The following is a 22953-nucleotide window of genomic DNA, read 5'->3' as shown; positions in this document are numbered from 1 at the left end:
AGGAACACAGCTCAGCTAACACCTTGACTTCAGCCCTGTAAGACCCACTTTGGACTTCTGACCTTGATAATTGTAAGATACTACATTCGTGTTAAGTCAGTTTGTGGTAGTTCATTACAGCAGCAAAAGAAAACTAATACAGCTAGACACCTGAGAGTAGGAGAGAGGCAAAGATAAATGTGCATGCAGATCACCTGGAGATCTTGTTAAACTGCAGACTGCATCACTAGGTCTTGAGTAAGGCCTGAGATTCTGCATTTCTTCTTTCTTTCTTTCTTTTTTTTTTTTTTTTTTTTGAGACATAGTATCACTCTATCACCCAGGCTGGAGTGCAGTGGCGCAATCTTGGCTCACCGCAACCTCCACCTCCCAGGTTCAAGCAATTCTCCTGCGTCAGCCTCCCGAGTAGCTGGGATTACAGACACCCATCACCACGCCCAGCTCATTTTCATATTTTTAGTAGAGACTGGGTTTCGCCATGTTGGCCAGGCTGGTCTTGAACTCCTGACCTCAAGTGATCTGCCCGCCTCAGCCTCCCAAAGTGCTGGGATTACAGGCGTAAGCCAGTGTGCCTGGCCGAGCTTCTGCATTTCTAACAAGCTCTCAGGTCATAACAATGCTTCTGATACACACTTTGATTAACAGTGTGTTAATTTGATTAGCAGAGACTAGAAGACACTGGATACCCATGTAACATTTTACACTTTATGAAGCCTTTTCATAACTATCATACCTCATTTTTAAAAATTTATTTTTATTTATTTTTATTATACTTTAAGTTCTGGAATACATGTGCAGAACGTGCACGTTTGTTACATAGGTATACATGTGCCATGGTGATTTGCTGCACCCATCAATCTGTCATCTACATTAGGCATTTCTCCTAATGCTATCCCTTCCCTTGCCCCCCACCCGCCCAACAGGCCCCTGGTGTGTGATGTTCCCCTCCCTGTGCCCATATGTTCTTATCATTTTTCAGCTCCCACTTATGAGTGAGAACATGTGGTGTTTGGTTTTCTGTTCCTATGTTAGTTTGCTGAGAATGATAGTTTCCAACTTCATCCAAGTCCCTGCAAAGGGCATGAACTCATTCTTTTTTATGGCTGCATAGTATTCCATGATGTATATGTGCCACATTTTCTTTATCCAGTCTATCATTGATGGGCATTTGGGTTGGTTCCAAGTCTTTGCTATTGTGAATAGTGCTGCAATAAACATATGTGTGCATGTGTTTTTATAGTAGAATGATTTATAATCCCTTGGGTATATACCCAGTAATGGGATTGCTGGCTCAAATGGTATTTCTGGTTCTAGATCCTTGAGGAATCACCACACTGTCTTCCACAATGGCAGAATTAATTTACACTCCCACCAACAGTGTAAAAGCATTCCTATTTCTCCACATCCTCTCCAGCATCTGTTGTTTCCTGACTTTTTAATGATTGCCATTCTAACTGGCATGAGATGGTATCTCATTGTGGTTTTGATTTGCATTTCTCTAATGACCAGTGATGATGAGCATTTTTTCATATGTTTGTTGGCTGCATAAATGTCTTCTTTTGAGAAGTGTCTGTTCATGTCCTTCACCCACTTTTTGATGGGGTTGTTTTTTTCTTGTAAATTTGTTGAAGTTCCTTGTAGATTCTGGATATTAGCCCTTTGTCAGATGAATAGATTGTAATAATTTTCTCCCATTTTGTAGGTTGCCTGTTCACTCTGATGATAGTTTCTTTTACTGTGCAGAAGCGCTTTAATTAGATCCCATTTGTCAATTTTGGCTTTTGTTGCCATTGCTTTTGGTGTTTTAATCATGAAGTCTTTGCCCATATCATACCTCGTTTTATCATCCTCACAACCTTGTGATATAACTATGACTGTCCCCATGTTACACATGAGGAAACCAAGGACAGTGGTTCTCAACCCTGGCTGAATATTAGAATCACCCAAGGAACTTTTAAAACTCCCATTGCACAGTTACCACCCAGAATAATTATGTTAGAATCTCTTGGTGTGTGGCCCAAACAGCAGTATTTTTTGGAATCACCAGGTGATTCCAATGCACTGCTAAGGGTAAGAACCATTGCACTAGAGCAGTGCTTCTCAAAGTGTGGTCCCTGAGCAAGTAACAGCAGTATCTGGGAACTTGTTCGAAATGCAGATTCTGGCCAGGCACGGTGGCTCACGCCTGTAATCCCAACACTTTGGGAGGCCCAGACAGGTGGGTCACCTGAGGCCAGGAGTTCGAGACCGGCTTGGCCAACACGGTGAAACTCCGTCCCTACTAAAAATACAAAATTAGCTGGGCGTGGTGGCTGCACACCTGTAATCCCAGCTACTCAGGAGGCTGAGGCAGGAGAATTGCTTGAACCTGGGAGGTGGAGGTTGCAGTGAGCTGAGATCACACCATTGCACTCCAGCCTGGGCGACAAGAGCGAAACTCCTTCTCAAAAAAAAAAAAAAATAAAAATAAAAATAAAAAAGAAAAGAAAGAAAGAAATGCAGATTCTCAGACTCACCAATGACCTGAAACTCTGGGAGTAGGACCCAAGAACCTGGGTTTTAAGACACCCTCCAGGTGATTCTGATACACTCTCAAGTTTGAACATGGGTTTGAAAAGGGCTAACTTGACTCCGTGGAGTCAAGAGCTGGGGAAACCCAAGCACACCTTAGGTCCAGGTATAAAATTAGGCTAGGTTCTAAGCAACTGGAATCAATCTCCTAATGGACATACCAAAGAATAAGAACTGTTTTCAGGATGGCAACTAGAATACTGAATCCCCACAACACAGTCTTTCTGATCCTTTTTTAGGAGAGACATCTGCCAAAGGCCCTCTCAGACTGTCAAAACATCCTGGAATATATTTGCGTCCAACTCTGCACCTTGCTCTCTATTCCCTCACTTCAAACACTAACCTTTCCCATTTGTGCTCTCACCTGAACTGAGTAAATAAGCTTCTAACCACTCTTCTCCCCACCCCTCTCTTCTTGGTATCCAAGATGAGAGTGGCAGGCGAAAGGGTAGTTCTAATGTACCCAAGCAAATGGATACACATCCTAAAACAGGAGTGACTTATGCAGCTGCCCCTCCAGAGTGCATCTCACCTGCTTCAGCAACACAGTTGCCCTTTGGTCTAACCTCCCCCCCTCAACCGCCCCCACGTTCCTATTCCTGGAAAATGGAAAATTCCATAGCCAAACATCAAGCAGACACTTCCCAGAATGCAGCTCATCTCCTCTTCTCCTCCCGCAGAGATACCTCAGGTCTATAGGATTAAGAAAGGCAAGCCCAGCAGCCACTACTCACTGACCAGACCTGGCCCAACATGCTGCAGAAATAATTATCAATTAGTATACTTGAGAGACAGCAGCGTGAGGTGGAGAATGGGTTCTAAACTGAATGACAGCTGTTAACAGTTTTTGGCCCTGTTTTTCCTGTCCTGAATCCTCAACTGAGATCCTAGGGATGAGAAACGGGGGAACAGCACGCCCTACTTGAGAGAATTAGAATTTGAGGCGCTAGGAAGCAAAAGGTAAGAAACAGCTTAAATGTGTGGTAGCACTCCTGAAAATATGCTGGGGCCCCTCAAAAAGCTCACCTTCCCTCACTTCCCACTTCAACTGATTATGAGCATCTTGCTTGATTAAAAGCAATTCATAATAGTAATTGAGAATTAGTAAGAAAAAGCTTAATTAAGCTGAGATTAATTATTTAAGCTGGTACTCGAGGTTTTGGAAGAAAAGTAGAAATTTAATGTCAAGGTATGGAGGAAGAAAAAAGTATGATTGGAGTCAATTATATCTTTTGACAGACAGGAGACCTGATGAATGTCCCTGTCCCTCCAGAGTCCCTGAAGCACCAGTGAAGGGAGAGGGCCTGGCGAGACAGCATGTACAGGTACTTGGGAGTTGTCTAGTAACTTGCTGGTTGGAGGGGGAGGGACTAGCTCAGGGCCCAGGGGGAGGTCTATACTGAAGTTGCTGCCTTTAGAGAGCTGGAGAGGCAGGAGGCTGAGGACTGAAAAGAGAGGGTGAGTAATTCTTCATGACCTGTAGGATCCCAAAGATGGCGACCTGCCAGCCTGGACTGCCAGCGAAGGCCAGAATCGTGCTGTAGCTCTGAACCCACAGCTCCTCTGCCCCTGGCCCATGAGAATTTCAGCTGGAGAGATAGCATGCCCTGGTAAGTGAAGTCCTGCCACTTCGAGACATGGAATCATCTTTCTCATTTGGAGTGATCCTTGCTGTCCTGGCCTCCCTCATCATTGCTACTAACACACTAGTGGCTGTGGCTGTGCTGCTGTTGATCCACAAGAATGATGGTGTCAGTCTCTGCTTCACCTTGAATCTGGCTGTGGCTGACACCTTGATTGGTGTGGCCATCTCTGGCCTACTCACAGACCAGCTCTCCAGCCCTTCTCGGCCCACACAGAAGACCCTGTGCAGCCTGCGGATGGCATTTGTCACTTCCTCCGCAGCTGCCTCTGTCCTCACGGTCATGCTGATCACCTTTGACAGGTACCTTGCCATCAAGCAGCCCTTCCGCTACTTGAAGATCATGAGTGGGTTCGTGGCCGGGGCCTGCATTGCCGGGCTGTGGTTAGTGTCTTACCTCATTGGCTTCCTCCCACTCGGAATCCCCATGTTCCAGCAGACTGCCTACAAAGGGCAGTGCAGCTTCTTTGCTGTATTTCACCCTCACTTCGTGCTGACCCTCTCCTGCGTTGGCTTCTTCCCAGCCATGCTCCTCTTTGTCTTCTTCTACTGCGACATGCTCAAGATTGCCTCCATGCACAGCCAGCAGATTCGAAAGATGGAACATGCAGGAGCCATGGCTGGAGGTTATCGATCCCCACGGACTCCCAGCGACTTCAAAGCTCTCCGTACTGTGTCTGTTCTCATTGGGAGCTTTGCTCTATCCTGGACCCCCTTCCTTATCACTGGCATTGTGCAGGTGGCCTGCCAGGAGTGTCACCTCTACCTAGTGCTGGAACGGTACCTGTGGCTGCTCGGCGTGGGCAACTCCCTGCTCAACCCACTCATCTATGCCTATTGGCAGAAGGAGGTGCGACTGCAGCTCTACCACATGGCCCTAGGAGTGAAGAAGGTGCTCACCTCATTCCTCCTCTTTCTCTCGGCCAGGAATTGTGGCCCAGAGAGGCCCAGGGAAAGTTCCTGTCACATCGTCACTATCTCCAGCTCAGAGTTTGATGGCTAAGACGGTAAGGGCAGAGAAGTTTCAAAGTGCCTTTCTCCTCCCCACTCTGGAGCCCCAACTAGATCAGCAGGAGCTAGGGGGATGAGAGCACTTGCTTCAGGCAATTGACCCCTGTCCCAGCATCCCCCACCCCCAGACTGACAGGTAACTGAGGCAGAGTCCTGACTTTCTTCTATAATCAGTTTCCCCATTTTCAAATCGCCACTCCTCCCTGTCCTTCTTTTGAAATGAGCCTGTCTCTGGTGTACAGGTACACTTACTTAAAGCAAGAAATGTACTGCTAAAAAGATGCTTATAGATCAAATTCTATTTTTGAGTATACCAGAGCAGCACTGTCCAACAGAAATATAATGTGAGCCACACGCATAATTTTACATGTTCCAGTAACCGTTTTATAAAGGTAAAAAGAAACAGGCAAAACTAATATTTTATTTATCCCAACGTAACCAATATATTGTTTTCAACATGTCATCAATATAAAAATTATACTGGTTTTTTTTTCATACTAAGTCCTTGAGATCTGGTGTGTATTTTGCCCTTACAAAACATCTCAATTTAAACTAGCCATATTTCAAATGCTCAGTAGCCACATGTGGCTAGTGGCTCCCATACTGAACAACACTAGAGAAATGAGGTTCTGTTATTTTTAAGTGTTTACTATAGTGACTTACTACAGTAATTGCTTTGGCAAGGTGAGGAGTCCCTCCTCCTCCTGCCCTTACTGATATTAATCAGAGATCTTATATGGTGAATGTGCCTAAAAGGTAGAAACCTCAATTCCTCTAAAGCTTGTCTTTTCGCACACCTCATGATGTTTAAAATAGGTTATTTCCCAAAGAAACACTATCTTGTGATTATTTCTGCTGTTACCGGTCCCAATCCACCACCTTTTAACTCTCTGCTGCCCCTTCCCTTAAGATGGCCTCATATGTCACTTGTGGCTACTTGCTGATGACAATGCTGGATCACAAATTCTGAGGCACTGGGAGGGAAGAGAGAGAAAACATGTGGGTACCAAGGCAGGCACAGCCAAGCTCTCCAGACTGGAGCCACTTTGCTCCTCAGGGCTCCTTCCACTTACTCCCAATTTTGCATTTTCCTAAGAAACTGTTGCACAGGAGACCAGCTGAGGAGCAGGTGCCTCATCCTCCTTTCCGTGGGGTACAGAAAATGACAAGGTTGGCAGATGGGAACTATGCTCAGTTTCCCTCTGGGCAACCTGGCAGCAAAAAACCAAGAACAGAATAGCGAAGACACTCAGGAACCACTCTCTGCCTTTCTGAGTTTCCCTGTAACCCTCTCCAAAACCTCCTGGTCTCCACAGTGGATTGCTAGAGAGTTTGGCTCTCAAGACCTTAAACTGTAATATTGCCCCAGAAAGCTGCCAAGTTGACAACAAAAGAGGGCAAGAAGAAACCAAAACAGTATGGATTAACTTGCCTAGGATTTGGTACTGAATTAGGTACCAAATTAGGTACCAACCTTAGGTTGGTTAATCCCTCAATATCCCTAAATTAATGACCTGAGGATGCATTTGAATCCAACGTGTAATGGCTAATTCCAAGAGGCCCTTGAAATTTTTCATTCTAATCACAAATTATAATGTTTAGACCTGGATGGAATCCAGCCACCCTCCTTTCAAAGGATGTCACCACACCACTATGCTTTGCACTCGGATTTTCTTAATTCCCCTTAGTCTTAGATTAACTCCCAGCTTACTTTCCTCAGTCATTCAGAGGATAATGATCATCCTTTTCAGTTTCCCTACTCTTGAGAAAATTTCCTTCTCCCTACCTTCACCCTATATCTTCTTCAGCCCAAATGGCTGTTTCTCATTGATCTATTCTACTACATACACATCAACCCACTTTTGGTAAATTTTTTGCAGTCGCTTTGCTTACCAGTCTGGCCCAGAGGAGAAACATGCTTGCTTTCACCATAGCAAGCATCGTGTTCCTACAACTGAAGAACTTTTTGACTCTCAAGTGGACGATGGAACCCAATATGCCTTGAAATGCTGAGCATCCAGCAAGTACCAGGCCAGCAATAAGGCACATTCTTGGATTGTATTGTGAGTTACTGGGAACTAGGTAAAATACGAATAACTGGATTTTGGACAAAATTGAAAGCAGGCTCAAACCAATGCCCTCCTTACTGGTGGTTCAAAGCTTAAATCCTGGCCTTGCTACAAAGGACTGATCTTGCCAAGATAATATAAGCAAAGTGGAATGAAAATTAAAGTTAATTCTGAAGCCAAGGTCCTTTTAGAAAAAAAAAAGTAAATTAGCCTGATTTAATCATTCCACATTTTAAACATATATCAACATCACATTGTACCCCACGTAATATATACAATTATTTGTCAATTAAAAATAAAAAATATATATATTTTTAAGTACAGAAAAGCAGGAGGGGAGGAGAGGCCAGGTGATCAGTGTGTTATTAGGTTCAATCTAAGAAACTCTGCTACCCCTGGGAGTCAGTATGTGCAATGGAAAAATCACAGGTCTTGAAATCCAACAGACCAGTGTTCAAATGATAATTCAGTCATTTAAATTCTCAAACTAGATCTCGCATTCATCAAACCGGGGTAATAATGCCTACTTTACATGGTTATATTGAAGATTAACTCAGATAATGTATATGTAAATATCTAGTAAACTACAGCACATTGTTAGTGCTCAAAAATGTCAGTTCTCTTCCTCTTCTTTAAACACCCTGGACTAAACAGTCAGTTGACCCATTTAAGGGAGTCCCTCATATTCAGATATTATGACATATAGGACAAGGACAATTGGACTCAGAACTGTAAATTCCTCAACCTCTGAATAAGATTTTTAAAAATGAGTGATGAGAGGTGATTCAGGTTGAAAAAGACAAACAATAAATCTAATACCTTAGCAGTATCAAGACAGAGCGGATACAAACAAGGCACTGGCACTAGTATGGTAATTGGATTTAAGAGTAATCACAATTAAAAACACTGTGTTTGGCCAGGCATGGTGGCTCACGCCTGTAATCCCAGCATGTTGGGAGGCTGAGGCAGGTGGATCACGAGGTCAGGGGTTCAAGACCAGCCTGACCAATATGGTGAAAAGCTGTCTCTACTAAAAATACAAAAATTAGCTGGGCACGATGGCAGGCGCCTGTAATCCCAGCTACTCAAGAGGCTAAGGCAGGAAAATCGCTTGAACCTGGGCGGCAGAGGTTGCAGTGAGCCAAGGTCGCGCCACTGCACTCCAGCCTGGGCAACAGAGTGAGACTCCGTCTCAAAAAAACAAACAAACAAACAAAAAAAAAAACAGCAACAACACTGTGTTTAATAAGCCACCAAGAGCAGAGCTACAGGATGCTACACAAAAGTCTAATGGCTTTCTTTGATGCAAGCTCCTTCACAGATAAGGGAATGTACCGGAAACGTTTAGATTTCATTCATACATCTGATGTTGTTTCCTGATAGGCTTACCAAGAAACCAGATTCAGTTCAGCAAGGTGATCAAAACATCCCAGATATTAATACCTTGTAGGATGCAATGTAGGCCAATCAGTCCCATTTATTATTTCCATGAACAGCTTACTGTGAATTTGTGGTGTTTTTGTTTTAAGAGACAGGGTCTCGCTCATCACCCAGGCTGGAGTGCAGTGGTGCGATCATAGCTCACTGTAGCTTCAACTTCCCAGACTCAAGCAATCTTCCCACCTCAGCTTCCTGAGTAACTGGGACCACAGGCACATGCCACCATGCCCAGCTAATTTATTTATATTTTGTAGAGACAGGGTCTCCCTATGTTGTTCATGATAGTCTTGAGTGATGCTCCCACCTCAGCCTTTCAATGTGCTGTGATTACAGGAGGAAGCCACTGCACCAGGCTGAATTTGTAATTAAAATTGTAACATGACTAAGTTTTATATTAATTCCTTAGGTAGGAAAGGTTATACATATCAACACCTCAATTTCAGAGGACTATTCTCAAAGAACATAAGGACACTGTAGGCCTCTGTACAGAGGTGTTTTAAGTGGTTTCACAAGTGTTAGAGGCAGGTTACCCTGACCAACACACTCCTGCTTGTCCATATGTCCAGTGTCAGCCAGAGATAGCCTTGGGATATCTTCTCCCTAGAAGGAGAAGTGTTAACTGGTTCAAATGGGAATTGAACTCATGACCTTGATTTCATTCCCACCATGCTCAGTCACTGGCCAAACTGAATAGAGACCAGTGAAAACAGCAGGCACAAGATACTTAAGGACACACATAGAATCAGCAAAAACAAGAATAGCAATGGACCCAATGACAGACCACAACTCCTCAGCTACTGTCAGCCACTCAATTCTGTGGCTCCTTCAGTATTTTCCACGTCATCCTTCAAACTGCTGACAGGTCTGGAATTTTCTCCTTTTAATTAAAAAATCTTCACTTGTTATTTCTGCAATCTTATAAATTCAATGATGGTGCCTACAAATGCCAATCGTCATTCATTCATCCGTCTGTCCACTTACCTATCTCACAAACATTGAGAGCTATGTGCTAAAATTGCCCCAGCTTTGCTGGGATATCTTCTAGGGGTATAGATTGATATATAAATGATGTTTACTATTTCTTTTACGATTATAAAAACAACTTTTGTTCATTAAAAAAATTTTGCAAACATAGGAAATCACAAAGTACCCATAATTATACTATCCAGAGATGACCACTGTTATTCTCCTTCATCTGTTTTTTTCACTTAACATTATATTGTGTATATTTTCCTATGTCGTCTTTTTCAAAAACACAACTTGTAATGGTTGCATGCTTTTTCAACAAATGGTATAATACTTTAACTATTTCCCTATAGCTGTGCTAAAACTTAGGTTATTTCTAATTTCTGTTATAATAGCATGATAAATATCCCTGTGTATAAATCATTGGCATGTCTCTGTCCCATTCCTTAGGATAAATTCACCAAGCAGTATTACTAGATCAAGGAGCATTAAATATTTATAAGTATTTGTTTTTAGATGGAGTCTCACTTTGTTGCCCAGGCTGCAGTGCAGTGGCACGATCTCGGCTCACTGCAACCTCCGCCTCTCGGGTTCAAGCGATTCTCCTGCCTCAGCCTCCTGTGTAGCTGTGACTACAGGCGCACACCACCACACCCAGCTAATTTTTTGTATTTTTTAGTAGAGATGGTGTTTCACCATATTGGCCAGACGGTCTTGAACTCCTGACCTCGTGATCCGCCCACCTCGGCCTTCCAAAGTGCTGGGATTACAGGCATGAGCCACTGCACCGGGCCAAGAATTTTGATTCACATTTGTGCTAGCATTTCTTGAAGTGTAATATTTCCCTGAGACACCTGCTAAGAGAAGTCATAAGTGAGCCATAAATGAACAGACCACACTGATAGGAACATCCCAAAGAGATAAAAGCACACAGCTTCCTGAAAGAATAAATCATACTGAGGAAGTTAACCAGTTGCTTTTTTTTTTTTTTTTTTTTTTTTTTTTTTGCAAAAGGAAACTTTTTGATATGGCCTACTGCCAGGGTTCATCTGCCTTCTGCAAATTCAGAAATCTGAACTAACAGAACATAGTAGTTTAAGAATGCCTCTCACAGAGTACAACTCCATCAATACAGTGCAGTGTGATATCCAGATATCAATTTCAGTGTTTTGGCTCTTAAAATTTTCGGACATAGTTGCTCCATAAAATGCTGAGTAGACATGAGAATAAGAAAACATCTTCACGCAGAGCTAGGAAACCGTTCTTGAATCTGCTGAATGAAGCCTTGAAGCCATAGTCTTGCAGTTTGCTGAAAGGGCAAGATATGCTTCACCTAATGGATCAACCATGGCAGGGTAAAGTGCATGAGAGCTTAACATGCTACTACTCAGCCATATGTTCCCTGCATTTACAAGCTGTTGGGACCATAATCAGCCACTGGGCTCAAAGAGCCCTCTCATGAGGAGTCCTAGAAACGACTGATGCAGCTGCTAAGAGCCTATGAGTCTGTTTTAATGCACAAAGCAGTTCCTGTTTCTTTCAAAACGCCTTGTACACAATGGGGCAGACGGGATTCAGTTGCTACCAAGCACTGGGGAAACTAAAACTCCGTAGGGCCAAGAGCCTGAGGGGCTCTCTTCATCTGCTTAGGTTTGTTTTTATTTGGTGTATGTTGCCCAACAATCCCACGATTGAATCACAGTTCCCATTTACCATGATACATCCATATCAGTTCCAGTTCTGTCTCAATTGTGTTGACATTAAGGCACTAAAAAGCTGATAAGCTTGCTGAGATAACACACTCACAGGCCCAGTAAAATGCCATGCTGTATAACAAAACTGTTCAATGTGCTTTTACCCACCAACCCCTCCTTAGTATTTTTGCAGATGTGTCCATTGAGCCATTCAACAAATATGAAAGCATTTCCTATAGAAAAGCAAATGGGTATCATATCATCTCAGAAGTAGTTAAAAAAAAAAGGTGAGAAAACTAAACTAAGAAATTGTAGCTGAATGGCTCTGAGATTATTTCAAATGTGAAAAACAGACTCATAATCCAAACATTTCTTATTCAAAATTCCAACCACCACTTTAATATTGCTAGGTCCCTTAGTAATCTTATACAATGAAAGTGTTAAATGGTTTTTCTTATTTACAAAATAAATGGAAGAGACAAGGATGCATGAAGTGTTTATGGTAAGTAAAGCACAGCCCAAAATACAACTGAATTCTGATGCTGAGACACTGAATGGAGAGAAGAAATATCCTTTAATAGTGAAACCTCAGAAATAAAAATTATTGGCCGGGTGTGGTGGCTCACGCCTGTAATCCCAGCACTTTTGGAGGGTGAGGTGGGTGGATCACCTGAGGTCAGGAGTTTGAGACCAGCCTGGCCAACATAGTGAAACCCCGTCTCTACTAAAAATACAAAAATTAGCCAAGTGTGGTGGCACATGCCTGTAATCCCAGCTACTTGAGAGGCTGAGTGAGACAGGAGAATCACTTGAACCCGGGAGGCGGAGGGTGCAGTGAGCCAAGATTGCACCACTGCACTCCAGCCTGGGCGACAGAAGGAGACTCCATCTCAAAAAAAAAAAAAAAAAATATATATATATATATATATATGTATATATATATGTATATATATATATACATATATATATATAGAGAGAGAGAGAGAGAGAAAGAGAGAGAGAGAAATGGCCATTTTGAGAAGACATGAAGATATTTATTTTTTAATACCCAGCAATTTTATTAACCTACATGCAATATCCTGACTAGATTAGGCTAATAAAAATATTACCCCTTAAGTGACATGCTTTGGTGAATAGAGATTTAATTTATAATCAGGTTCATAGTAATCCTTCCTCCTATAAATTTGTTTATAAGTGTAACAAAGTTCTTCTTTCCATTGGAGGAGAAAGGGTGGAAAGCCTAGCCCCATGTCCAAATTACTAAATTTCAAACTAGTGGCATCTGTATCAATAATTCCACATTCTTCAACAAATGGTCTTACATACAACAGGAACAAGTTCATGTTGTTCTGGTGTGCCATCTCTGACTGCAAGACCCTCTTTTTGAACACTGTTGTGCTACCCCTAGTGAACTGTCCTCAGACTGGAGGAAGAAGGGGGTGGAGCAGTGATGAAGGAGGTCACAGAGAAGAAAGGCCAACAAACGGAAGAGGGAGAAGCGGGAGAAAGTGGAGAAAGGGGAAATGATGTATTTGCAGTCACAGGTCTCCAGGAAAATAATCTTAATCCAGTGTTACTGTTAAGTGATAAAGAGTGACCAACCACAAAAACTATTGACCTTCTTTCTCCCACGGCGCTATAAAGATAGGGGAATTAATGAAATCAATATTCTTTACTGCTCACCTGCCATAAACTTTAAGTGACTCTGGACAAGGTTAAGTCAGTATACCTCAAGCATAGTGATTGTAATTACGGGATTGTGAGCCAGACTGCCTGGGCTAGAATCCTGACTCTGCCATGTTTAAGAGGCAGAAGTATTTCACCTTTCTGTGCCTCAGTTTCTCATCTGAAAAAGGAGAATTGTACCTACTCTCATAGGGCTGGTTGTAAGGATGTAGACAGAGTATAAACACAAAATACTTAAACAGTACCTGGTACATAATAAAACCCATACTCTGTATTACCTATTATTAATAGCTAATAATTATTAAGCTAATTATTAATTAGCTATTATCTGGGTTGTTTCATTCTCCAGCCTCTCAAAAAAAAGGGGAAAAAAGTGGAAAGTTTTTGCATCTTACAACCTACAGATTTTGGTTATCATTTTATCCCTTCAAATATGACTTCCTAGGGGAAAGGATGTGGGTTGTGGAAGAGAGTAAGCAGAGTTAAGGATTACTTCAAGGCCTGAGCCACTAAAAGGGTTTTTAGGGGCAAATCCAGAATTTTGTTTTGTGAAGTGTCTTTCAGACTTTATTTCTTAGAGACAGGGTCTTGTTATGTTGTCCAGGCTGGCCTTAAGCTCCTGGGCTCAAGTGATCCTCCTGCCTCTGCCTCCTGAGTAGCTGGGGCTACAGATGTCTGCCACTGAGCCCAACTTGTGCCTATTAGACTTTAAGAGTGATGTAGAATAAGCAGTGGGACATAGAAATATGGAGTTCAGGGGAGAAGTATGGGCTGAGGATGTATATTTGGAAGTCACCAGCAGATATATGGTACTAAAACCATGGAAAACACTGCCCTGCTACTTGGTCATACCTTTAGTAATCCTTAGCTTACAGCCATTTTCCTAATAATTCAAAATTTATTTTATTTTATTTTTGAGACGGGGTTTTGCTCTGTCGTCCAGGCTGGAGTGCAGTGGCACCATTGTGGCTCACTGCAACCTCTGCCTCCCAGGTTCAAGCAATTCTCCTGCCTCAGCCTCCCTAGTAGCTGGGATTACAGGCCACCACGCCCAGTTAATCAAATTTTAATTTAATTCAATTTAAATTCCACAGTATTTGTTGAACCTTTCCTATGTTTTAGGCATTTAATCAGATCCTTTGGATACAGACCAGTTCATTTACTCATTTAACAAATGTGTACTAAGTGCACATAACTGTATAAAGCACTGAGAACCCAGTAGTAAACAAAACTGACATAATCCCTATTTTCATGGAGCCCCAAATGATGGGAGATACAGAAATTAGTGAAATAATCACACACATATAGTACATAGATATAAATTCTGATATGTGGTATATGAAATTATAATGAGGAAAGTTATTTACACTGGGGGAGAGGAAATCACTGGAAGGTTTTTCTGAAGGAATAATATTTAGGTTGAGGTGAACTAAAGCCATTTTGCAATATATATAAATCCTTCAAGAAACTATTTTCAGGCGGGGCGCAGTGGCTCACACCTGTAGTCCCAGGACTTTGGAGGCTGAGGCGGACGGATCACCTGAGGTCAGGAGATCGAGACCAGCCTGGTCAGCATAGTGAAACCCCATCTCTACTGAAAATACAAAAAAAATTAGCCAGGCGTGGTGGCAGGTGCCTGTAATCCCAGCTACTCAGGAGGCTGAAGCAGGAGAATCGCTTGAACCCAGGAGGCAGAGGTTGCAGTGAGCCGAGATCACACCACTGTACTCCAGCCTGGGCAACAAAAAAAGAAACTATTTTCAGCTGTACTATTGTGAAACAAAAAATATGTTCCCTTTTGCTAATTTGGGGATGAGTAGGGTATCTGATGGATATAGTAAATGTTTTAAAAAATAATAATATAAACAATGAGATACCACTACATACCTATCAGAAGGGCCAAAATCCAAACCGATGACAGCACCAAAAGCTGGAGAAGATGTGGAGCAACAATAGCTCTCATTCATTGCTGTTGGGAATGCAAAATGGTGCAGCCACTTCACAAGACAGTTTGGCAGTTTCTTACAAAACTAAACATTCCCTTACCGTACCATCTAGCAACTGTGCTCCTTGGTATTATATTTACCTAAATGAGTTGAAAATGTCTACACAAAAACCTACACACAAATATTTATAGCAGTTTGATTCATAATTGTCAAAACTTCGAAGCAACCAAGATGTCCTTCAGTGGGTGAATGAATAAACTGGTACATCCAGACAATAGAGTATTATTCAGTGCTAAAAAGAAATGAACTATCAAGCCACGAAAAGACATGGAGGAACCTTAAATGCATATAAGTAAGTTAAAAAAAAAAAAGCCAATCTGAAAAGTATGATTCCAACTATATGACATTCTGGAAAAGGCAAAACCATGGAGACAGTAAAAAGCCTCAGTAGTTGCCAGAGGTTAGGCGAGAGGAAGGAACGAATAAGAGGAACATAGAGGATTTTTAGGGCAGTGAGACCATTCTATATGATTCTATAATGATAGATACATATTACACATTTGTCAAAATGTATAATGCCTTATCCTCATGGTGACATAGACTCTTCCTCTGTCTCACCTCGAGTGTCATTTGTGCTATGAAGCCTTTGGCAAATCCTCTAGGTAAGGCTGTTCCTCCTCTGTGCTCCCACACAGCATTTTGTTCATCTCTCACATAGTACTTAGGTCCTACTGTAATTATTTACTTACAAATCTGTTCTTCCACTATGATGTGAGCTTGAAAACAGACACTATGTCTTAGTCATTTTATAGTCCTAGACATAATAGATACATAATAAATGTTGAACAAATTAATGAATGGATAAAGATGAAGAACTATTAATTCCACAAATATTTGAGTGCCTACAATGAGCCGGGCTCTGTTTCAGTACAAAAAAAGTAGCCAGAACTTTGTACCTGTAAGATGATTAGAACCCTGGGAACAGGCTTCTATTTTAAGCCTTTTTTTAGCTTTTTACCTGTAGGAACTTCCAAATGAGCCACTTGCTTGTTTATTCATGTTTAAGAAAGAACCACCTGCCCAACGTTTAGCAGTGGCATTATGACAATGAATGGCAGTGGGAAAGCACAATGCACTCATTCTCGTCTCATAAAAGTGCACTTTAAGAGTCCAGTCTCAATTTCATAGTTATCTTCCTTTATTATTCTCTGGAGAATGTAACTTCAAGAGTTGGCAAAGGAGAAAATAGTAAATGAAGACAAAGCCAAAGTGATTCTGCCAATAAATACTTTAATGAGAACCGAGGTCTGTAACACATATAGCAATAACCACCCTGGCCTATGCCTTCTGCTCTAGCCCAAGTCTGGGGCTAACCAATTACATTTAACCACATTTGGAAAGCAGGCCGTTTTCAATGTCACCCATCAGTATCCATCTTCATAGAAGATACCAATCTGGGGCCAGAGTCTCAATGTTAACACTTTCTCTCGGGGAAAAGTTAACATGGTAACACAAACATAGAAATAACTTTGAACCACCCCACTGTTCTTCCATCAGGAGGCCCTTAGGAGACCAACGGCTTGGTAAACACTTACAACATTGTCAAAATACATTAGAACACGGGAAAAGGGCAAAGGAGTAGAAAGGCTGGCAGGGCTGGGCTCACATATAATTCAGTTCTTAGATTTGAAGCCTCTTTAGCTGCTCGTATGTAATAAAAAACTGAGGAGTAAGTCAAGGAAGATCACCAGGTTGATATCGAAAGCCAAAGCTAGTTCTAAAATTAGCATCGCATTCTCTTAAATTAAGGTAGTCTATGCTATTCCAAGCTGCATCTGCTTTAAAATCTTTTCTAAAACACCACCTGACAGCCGGGCGCGGTGGCTCACGCCTGTAATCCCAGCACTTTGAGAGGCCGAGGTGGGTGGATCACGAGGTCAGGAGATCGAGACCATCCTGGCTGACATGGTGAAACCCTGTCTCTACTAAAAATACAAAAAATTAGCCGGGTGTGGTGGCGGGTGCCTGTAGTCCCAGCTACTCGGGAGGCTGAGGCAGGAGAATGGCGTGAACTCAGGAGGTGGAGTTTGCAGTGAGCCGAGATCGCGCCACTGCACTCCAGCCTGGGCGAGAGAGCAAGACTCCATCTCAAAAAAAAAAATAAAAATAAATAAATAAATAAATAAAACACCACCTGTCAAATCAAGCATGCATTGAGTGCCTACCATGTGCCCATTCAGATCACTGGCATCGAACAACATAAACAGAGTAAAACTCTAATATATTTATAGTCTTCAGGGGGAAACAGGACAAACGCACACACGCACACACACACAGTAACCAAGAACATCAGTGACGACATATAATTAATTAGATGATCAGAGTGATTCCAAGAGGGAACGAGATACCCTCTCTCTGTCTACAGACCCCACAAGGGCAGAGAATTACTTTCCAACCCTGCGGTGCTTACCATTATACACACAACACCACACACAGTATCCAATACATGGCTCTGCACTTAGGAGGCACTCAAACACAACTGGAGGAGACAGATTCACCCATGAAGAAAGAAGCCTGCTTGGCTGTGGATTCCTTCACCCCATGAATGTCTTCTGTCCTGTTTTTATTTCCCAGCTATTTTGGTCCTATAGTTAGGGGTAGGAAATCTGAACCACCTCAGCATGGACTTTCCTGTAGGCTTCGTCCATCAGGGTTTCTAAAAACTTCATAGCCCCTTCCAGATTAGCTGTGTTTGTTGTCATTTTGTTTTAAAGAGTAAAGTTTGACATATCTTTTCTATCCCTTTTAGTTTGTATTAGCCTCCAACTGAAAGCTGTTTCTTTGCTTAATTTGATTCTCAAGGGTCACCAATGGGATGCTTGAGTTTCTCACTAGCCTAAAAGGCTTTAATAATCAAATTTTCCTTCCCATAGCCTAGAATTATCTGGGAGCTTGAAGCACTTGCTTTCATTCTCTCAAAGGATACAATGATGTTCCAGGGTCCAAGCCGAAGCCAGTTTGGCCAAAATCCTTTATAGAGTGCAAAAAAGCCCTCATGTTTCCACATCTGCAGGAAAGATATAACCAAAAACAGAGTGAATTCACCTTTCTCTACATTTGACATCACCTTCCACTCCCACCCCAGGGCAACTTATGGCTCCATGAATAGTCTTTTCTCTAAAGGTCCATTTTAAATTCATCTGTAGTCTAAATCCATCCACCCACTTAATCAATAAATATTTACCTACCATACATATGCAAAGCACCATTCTTGATGTTGAGAATATACTAATAAACAAGACAGAAAAAGTGTCTATGGTAGCCAGCCTCCAAGATGGCCCCCAATGAACCCTACCTCCAGTTATTTGTACCCTTGCGTAGCCTCCACCCCATAGTATTTGGTCTGTGTCACCAACAGAATATGGTAGTAGTGAACATATGTCACTTCCATAGCTAGGTTATAAAATATATTTTATATATAATAAAGCATCTGCCTTATTCTCTCTTGGATTCATTCACTCTAGAGGAAACCATCTGCTATATCATGAAGAGAGGACTACATGGTGAGGAACTGAGGGCTCCAGCCAACAACTGCATGAGTGATCACTGAAGCAGCTATCCCAGCCTGTCAAGGCTTTAGATGGCAGCAACCCTAGTTGCCATATGAACTACAACCTCAGGAGACAGCCTAAGCCAGAATCAACTCAGCTAAGCTGCTTTGCAATCCCTGGCCCACAGAAACTGCAAAATAACAAATGGTTTAAGGCAATGAGTTTTGGAGTAATTTGTTACACAGCAATAGGTAACCTATACAGCAGTTTCTACCCTCATGGAGTGCATATTCTAGTGGGGCTGACAAATACACAAATTGATATATATTATATCCAAAAATAAGTGCCACAAAGAGAACTAAAGCAGGGTAAGAAAATAGAAAGTTGGGCAAGTCATTATTCTTCTCTGAGTCTGTTTCATCATTATAAATTCTATATAATGCCATAGCCTACCTCATGTGAATGCTTTGAGGATTACATGAAGAAAAATGTGAAGTGTTTTGAGTTTTGGTTTCCTACTTTATACAACAGGGGTCTTATATACATGGTTATGAGAATTAAATGATAAATTATGCATAAACGTTGTAAACTGGTGGCACGTGCTGAATTTAGCCAGCAGAAATGGTTCGTATATAATGGACAAATATCTATTACATAACTACAGTGTGTTAGGCATTGTGTTAGACATTGAAAAATGTTATTTTGCCTTTCCAATAGTGAAGTGAAACCCACCACAATTCTAAAAAAAGGATATATTTGGATAAGACAATAATATGAGAAGCCAGAGTTGTAAATATTCTTTTTCCCATCCTGTACATTAAGTATACTAGAGATAATTATCCTTACTAACTACTTTTGGGAACAAACAGTAAAATAATAAGCACAATATTTATGAAGATATAGTGGTAATATGTTTCCCCCAATGGATCTTCAGCAAATAGTAAAGGTCTGAGACCAAAACTGATGTTGGAAAATTGTGAAAATCACCCCAAATAAAGCCCAGATGTGAATAACCTAGAACCTAGACTGTTAAATGACAAGAGACCTCTGAAAGACCATCCAATCTCATAATCTCTTACCTGGACTACCACAATGGACTTTTAATTGGTCTAAAATCTCTACCTAGAAGCTAGAACAATCTTTTAAAATTATAAATGAGAGCATAACATTTCCTGCTTAAAGCTCTCAAATGGCTTCCTGGTGGATTTCATTCTAATTACAAAGTCTCTGCAAAGACCTATAGGATCCCACATGATTTAGCTGCTGCCTTTCTCTCCAGTTTCATTTCCTACTAGTTTCTCCCTTCATTCACCACACACTCAGCCACACTAGCTTTCTTTCTAACCCTTGAACATGTCCAGCTTATTTCCAACTCAGGCCTTCAGTAACCTATTCCCTCTTTATGAAATGGTTTTCTCCCAGCTCTCATGGCCAGCTCATCATCATTCAGATCTCAGCTCAAATGTCACCTCCTCAGAGGCTTTTCTTGACCATCCTTGCTGAAGTAGTTCCCCACTACTGAGTCACTATTGCAATATGCTGTTATTTTCTGCATAGCATCTATTTCTATCTAAAATTATACTGTGCATTGTGTGTTTATTGTCTCCCTCAACTAGAATGAAATCTCCAAGAGATTAGAAACTAGCTTTGTTTGTTCACCATTGTGTCACCACCACCTAACACAGTGTCTGGTGCAAGAAATTTTCCCGTAAGTATTTGTTGAAGAGGTGAACACAAAAACAGTAAGGGTCTCTAACACTCTTGTGAGCCATCTGGATCTTTTTTTTTTTAATTAAGAAACATGGTCTTGCTCTGTCGCCTAGACTGGAGTGCAGTGGCAAGACTACATAGCTCACTGCAGCCTCAAACTCTGGCTCAAGCGATCCTCCCGAGTAGCTAAGACTACAGGATGCAAGCCACAGCACCCGGCTTGAATCTTTATAAATTTCCAAAAACAGTGACCAATTTCTTCACAACGTGAGAACTGGGAGGCATCTTTTGGCATAAGGCAGTTGTGTGAAAACAAAGAACTTCTATAGATAAGCATAGACAAAATAATAAAGTCTGATGCTATTACATAAATGGCAAAATAGAACAAAGTCATTTTAAAGAATGACTGCTATTAAAATTTTTTAGTAGCAAGTGAGTAAATGAGTGAGCAAATGTAAGTACTTAAAGGTTACTACCAACATAAAAACATGTTTCTGCAGATTCAGAACAGCATAGTGGCTGTAAGTACAAACTTTGGAATCAGACAGATTGTGGATTAAGTCTCAGACCTGCCTCTTATTAGCTGTGTAATCTTGTGTAAGTTATTACTTAGCTACTCTGAACCTAAGTTTCCTCCTTTATAAAATGGGAAAGATAATATCTACTCCACAAGGTCGCTGTGAGAGTTAAAGGATATACTCTATGTACAGTGCCTGCGATAGAATAAGCATTCAATAAACATTAGCTATTACTATATTATTGTATAGTAAATCTTACAGTAAATCTTTTAGCCAATCTTCTTGAAACAGTGCTTTACATTTGTCTATTTATCATTACTTCCTGTGTTTATCTCCTTCTATTAGAATCTAAGTGTCATAAACACAGGGACATTTTGGTTTACCAGTACATCCTCAACAACCTAGAACAGTGCTTAGCACATAAGACAAACATTTCTTTCTTTTGTGTGTGTGTGGGGGGGCCTCTTCAAGAGTCAGCTTGATTTTTTCTTTTTTATTACTTGAATGAATAATCAAACATATTCCTCAATGCACAGCAATTGGCTTTTGCAAACACCAATTCACCAAACCTTCTAAAAAATATTAAATCCAACAGACTCTTTGCAGTCCTTATCATATTAGATCGCTATTGCATGTGACATTAAGTAACCACTCATTCCTTCTTGAAACTCATTAACTTCTTTGGCTCCCATGACACTACTCTCTAAGTTTCCTCGTCTTTGGTGTCTTTCCTAGGTTCCTCATCTGCCAAGACCTTAAAAATTGGTATTCCGGTCAGGGCACGGTGGCTCACGCCTGTAATCCCAATACTTTGGGAGGCCAAGGCGGGTGGATCACGAGGTTAGGAGTTCGAGACCAGCCTGACCAACATGGTGCAACCCTGTCTCTACTAAAAACAAAAATAAGCCAGGCGTAGTGGCGGGCACCTGTAATCCCAGCTACTCAGGAGGCTGAGGCAGGAGAATTGCTTGAACACGGGAGGCAGAGATTGCAGTGAGCAGAGATCACGCCATTGCACTCCAGCCTGGGCATAAATAAATAAATAAAAATTGGTATTCTGCAGTGTTTTTTCCTTGGCCCAGTGCTCTTCCCTCTACACCAGTAATTGTCAAATGCAGAAATACCAATGGGGGCTTTTGCCAAACTATACTTTCCAGGGTCTGAGAATTGCTGCCCCAGGCAATCATTATTACGGGAAAGAATTTTATAGTACTCCAGTATGCTGGGAAGGCAAAAAGGTTGTGAACTCCTCTACCTACTCTCCTTGGTCAACTCTCTCCACAGTTATATACCACCTGTGTGCTAATGACTCCATGGGCTTTTATCTATATCCATGAACCCTCTCTTGAGTCAGGGCTAGAATATCCATATGTATCCACTGGATTTTCCTCATGCACATCAAACTGAGTATCCAAAACTAGGATGTCTCCCCCAAGACGTGCTCCTCTTGTGATGCCTCTGTCAATGAATGTCACCACCTGGTCACCAACTCCAAAAACCCAGAACTTATCTTTGACACCTCTTTTCTCCCACACCCCTCCACATCCAGTCAATCAAATCCTGCTGACTCTATCAACTAATTCTTTCTTGACTCTGTCCCACCTTCTATATCTCCATTATCATGCTCAAGTTCAGGCCTTCATCCCCTCTTTCTCAGATTACAAGAGCCTTCTAATCAGCTTCCCTATCTGTAGGTCAGTGGTTCTCCAAGTGTGGTCTCCAGACTAGCAACATCAGTATTGCCTGGGAATTTATTAAAAATGCAAATTTCCAGGTCCCACTCCATACTTACTAAATCAGAATCTGGAGATGGCTCCAAGTGAACTGCAGTTTAACAAGCCCTCCAGGTAATTCTGATGCATGTTAAACTTTGAAGAACCATGGCTCCAGGCTTATCCCCTTAGTAGTCTTCAACCTTAGGTGAACATTGCAGTCACCTGATATAGTTTAAAATATTGACACCTGGACCTTACTCCCCAGGTTCTGAGTTAATTGGTCTAAGGTAGAGGAGGGAGCTGCGAAAGTTCTCCCAAGTGATTCCAATGTGTACCCAAGATGAGGAACCACTGTGGTAGATCCAGTCTCCATAAAGCCAAAGTAATCTATTTAAAATGCAAAGCTAATCTGATTAAAAACTTTCAACAGCTCC

At 41.6% G+C, this 22953-nt stretch overlaps 2 protein-coding genes across 8 annotated transcripts in view; one reads left to right on the top strand and one right to left on the bottom strand.

Moving 5' to 3' along the window:
- GPR119 (G protein-coupled receptor 119) lies at positions 3982–10207 on the top strand. The gene is made up of 2 exons (NM_178471.3): positions 3982–5220; positions 7105–10207. Exon 1 carries the CDS (start codon positions 4209–4211, stop codon positions 5214–5216), a length of 1008 nt encoding a protein of 335 aa, NP_848566.1. The 5' UTR covers positions 3982–4208; the 3' UTR covers positions 5217–5220; positions 7105–10207.
- The window catches only part of SLC25A14 (solute carrier family 25 member 14), a 33439-nt gene continuing 26784 nt past the window's right edge, over positions 16299–22953 (bottom strand). For all 7 annotated transcript variants that reach the window (NR_104107.2, XM_011531402.3, NM_001282195.2 and 4 more), the window contains 2 exons: positions 18012–18092; positions 16299–16747 (listed from right to left, as the gene is read on the bottom strand). Coding sequence is in view for 6 of the 7 variants with exons in the window: in XM_011531402.3 (XP_011529704.1) it covers positions 16706–16747; positions 18012–18092 (123 nt within the window). In the remaining variant the exon portion in view is untranslated. The remainder of the gene's footprint in view (positions 16748–18011; positions 18093–22953) is intronic.

This window comes from Homo sapiens, chromosome X, assembly GCF_000001405.40.
Source record: "Homo sapiens chromosome X, GRCh38.p14 Primary Assembly".
Classification (NCBI taxonomy): domain Eukaryota; kingdom Metazoa; phylum Chordata; class Mammalia; order Primates; family Hominidae; genus Homo; species Homo sapiens.
Note: the sequence above shows the minus strand (reverse complement) of the source record. Positions and strands in the feature narration are given on the sequence as shown.

Excerpts from the sequence above, each read along its gene's own strand:
- GPR119 (NM_178471.3), top strand. The coding sequence starts at position 4,209 with ATGGAATCATCTTTCTCATTTGGAGTGATCCTTGCTGTCCTGGCCTCC.